Source organism: Homo sapiens, chromosome 13 (assembly GCF_000001405.40).
Source record: "Homo sapiens chromosome 13, GRCh38.p14 Primary Assembly".
NCBI classification, from domain to species: domain Eukaryota; kingdom Metazoa; phylum Chordata; class Mammalia; order Primates; family Hominidae; genus Homo; species Homo sapiens.
Genome location: NC_000013.11, coordinates 105,872,064 through 105,874,350, shown reverse-complemented (window position 1 = coordinate 105,874,350; position 2,287 = coordinate 105,872,064).

Genomic DNA, 2,287 nt, shown 5'->3' with positions numbered 1-2,287 from the left:
TTTAGTTATTTTCTTTTGTTCTCTCTTTCTCTCATTTTCTTTTGTAATCCACCTGAAAGTTATTTAAACCCATAACTTGGCCAGGTGTGGTGGCTCATGCCTGTAATCCCAGTACTTTGGGAGGCCGAGGCAGGTGGATCGCAAGGTCAGGAGTTCAAGACGAGCCTGGCCAATATGGTGAAACCCCGTCTCTACTAAATATACAAAAATTAGCTGGGAGTGGTGGCGTGCGCCTATAGTCCCAGCCACTCGGGACGCTGAGGCAGAAGAATCGCTTGTACCTGGGAGGCAGAGGTTACAGTGAGCCGAGATCATGCCATTGCACTCCAGCCTGGGTGACAGAGCAAGACTCCGTATCAAAAAAAAAAAAAAAAAGAAAAAAGAAAAAAAAGGGGAATAACTTATCTCTTTCAATAAGACATTCTCTCGTAGAAATATTCCTACTAAATCAACTGTCCTGTTCGCTGTGTTTAATTACCTAGGTTTTCTTATATTTTCTGTTTACAAGAAACAGAAAGATTCTTACAGAGAATCTGTAAGGCCCAGATTTACTGTTAAGGCCACATGAGTGACAATTAATATATGTCCTTTGTTTATCTGTATGTTTATATGTCCTTATTATCTGGAAGATAATAAGATGGGAAATGGGAGCTCTTTTTTCTTGTCGATATCCTATGGATGCTATGTTATTTACTGATGAAATATGGTCTTTCTCCAGCTATGAACATGGAACGTTTACAAGTATTTGGAAAACTTGAGCGATTACATATGGTAATTGACAATATCTTTTTAGTTGTAACCCTCTCTTTCACTACCTAATTTATGACTTAGTTTGTAATCTTATGGCTTAATTTCAGCACCCATGAACAACGAATTCTAAGAACTGGAGTCCTTAGAGGGATGCATATGACTTAAATGTTCCCTATAATTAGCCAGAAAGAATATTTCATCAATGCATAGCAGAATGGATATTACTGCACAACCTGTAGGATGGAACCGCAAACATTCCCCCTTGCACAGGGTATGGGTTGGCTAGCTATGCTGCAGCATGACCCTAGCTACAGACCTGGAAGTGGGGTTTTGATGGGTTAACTGGGGGAGAATATTCAAGCCAAGATATCCCGAGAGGAAGAGCTATAGAGGTGAAACTGAGCCAAGCCCTGAAGAGATCACTGGGAATCCAAATCCGGAAAGACCGCATTCAAACACCAAATTAAAAAACGAAGAAGAAAGCCAGAGACAGTGGCATGAGTCTGTAGTCCCAGTTACTCAGGAGACTGAGGCAGGATGACTGCTTGAGCCCAGGAATTCGAGTCTAGCCTGGGCAACACAGCAAGACCTCATCTCTTAAAAAAAAATAAATTAAAATAAAGAATAAAGTCAAGAATCAGATTGCAATAAAGCATAAAAGAAGCAGATTGGGAACAAATAAGCAAAAGCTTAAGAAATTGCTATAAAGAGCTTATTGGGAGGGGCAGTTGGAGCAAGAGCTAGCCCTCGTTCACGGTAAATGTATAGTATGCAGGGTATTGGGTTGGAATAGAGCACTGTTTCTCAACATTGGTTGCATATTATAATTATCTAGGGAACTTAATATATGCCCTAGTCTCACTTCTAGAGATTCTACTTTAATTGATCTGGGAAAGAATCTGGATATTAAGATTTGTGAAATTCGCCAGGTGATTCCATTGTGCAGCCAATGTTGAGAAGCATGGCTGGCAAGGCTGGAAGGAAGCCACAGTAAAAGCATTAGCGATAGTAACAGGGGAACTAGGAAGGAAATGCAAATACAACTTTCAGCACAACTTGCCCCAATAAGTTTTCCTTGAGTAGCAAGCTGAGCTGGAAACCTTTGGTGATGATTTTTACACACTTTCTGTATAACTTTCATGTAACGAAACTCATACAAAGATAGTAGTTGGGAAAAAGTTAAAGGTTTTAACCCATGAGCTGCTGCAGCAAGGTGATAGTGTTTAATGGTGTTACATGGGAACTATCATGGCCTAATGATTTGGTTTGCTGGGAAAAATCTATTTTCACTTGGGTGATTCTAAGAGAAGTTGCTCTTCTTGTTGAAGGGGTTAAAATGCTAGTGGAACACAATACATGTGGCATAGGATTTCCCGCTGCAGTACAGAATGCCAACTTGAACTTGAAATTTTAATAAACAACAAATACTTTTTTAGCAACAAATACTTTTTTTGCAATATTAAAGACATATTTAAATATTATTTGTTATTCATCAGAACTTGAAACTTAAATGAAGGTCCAGTTTTTGTTCTTTTGT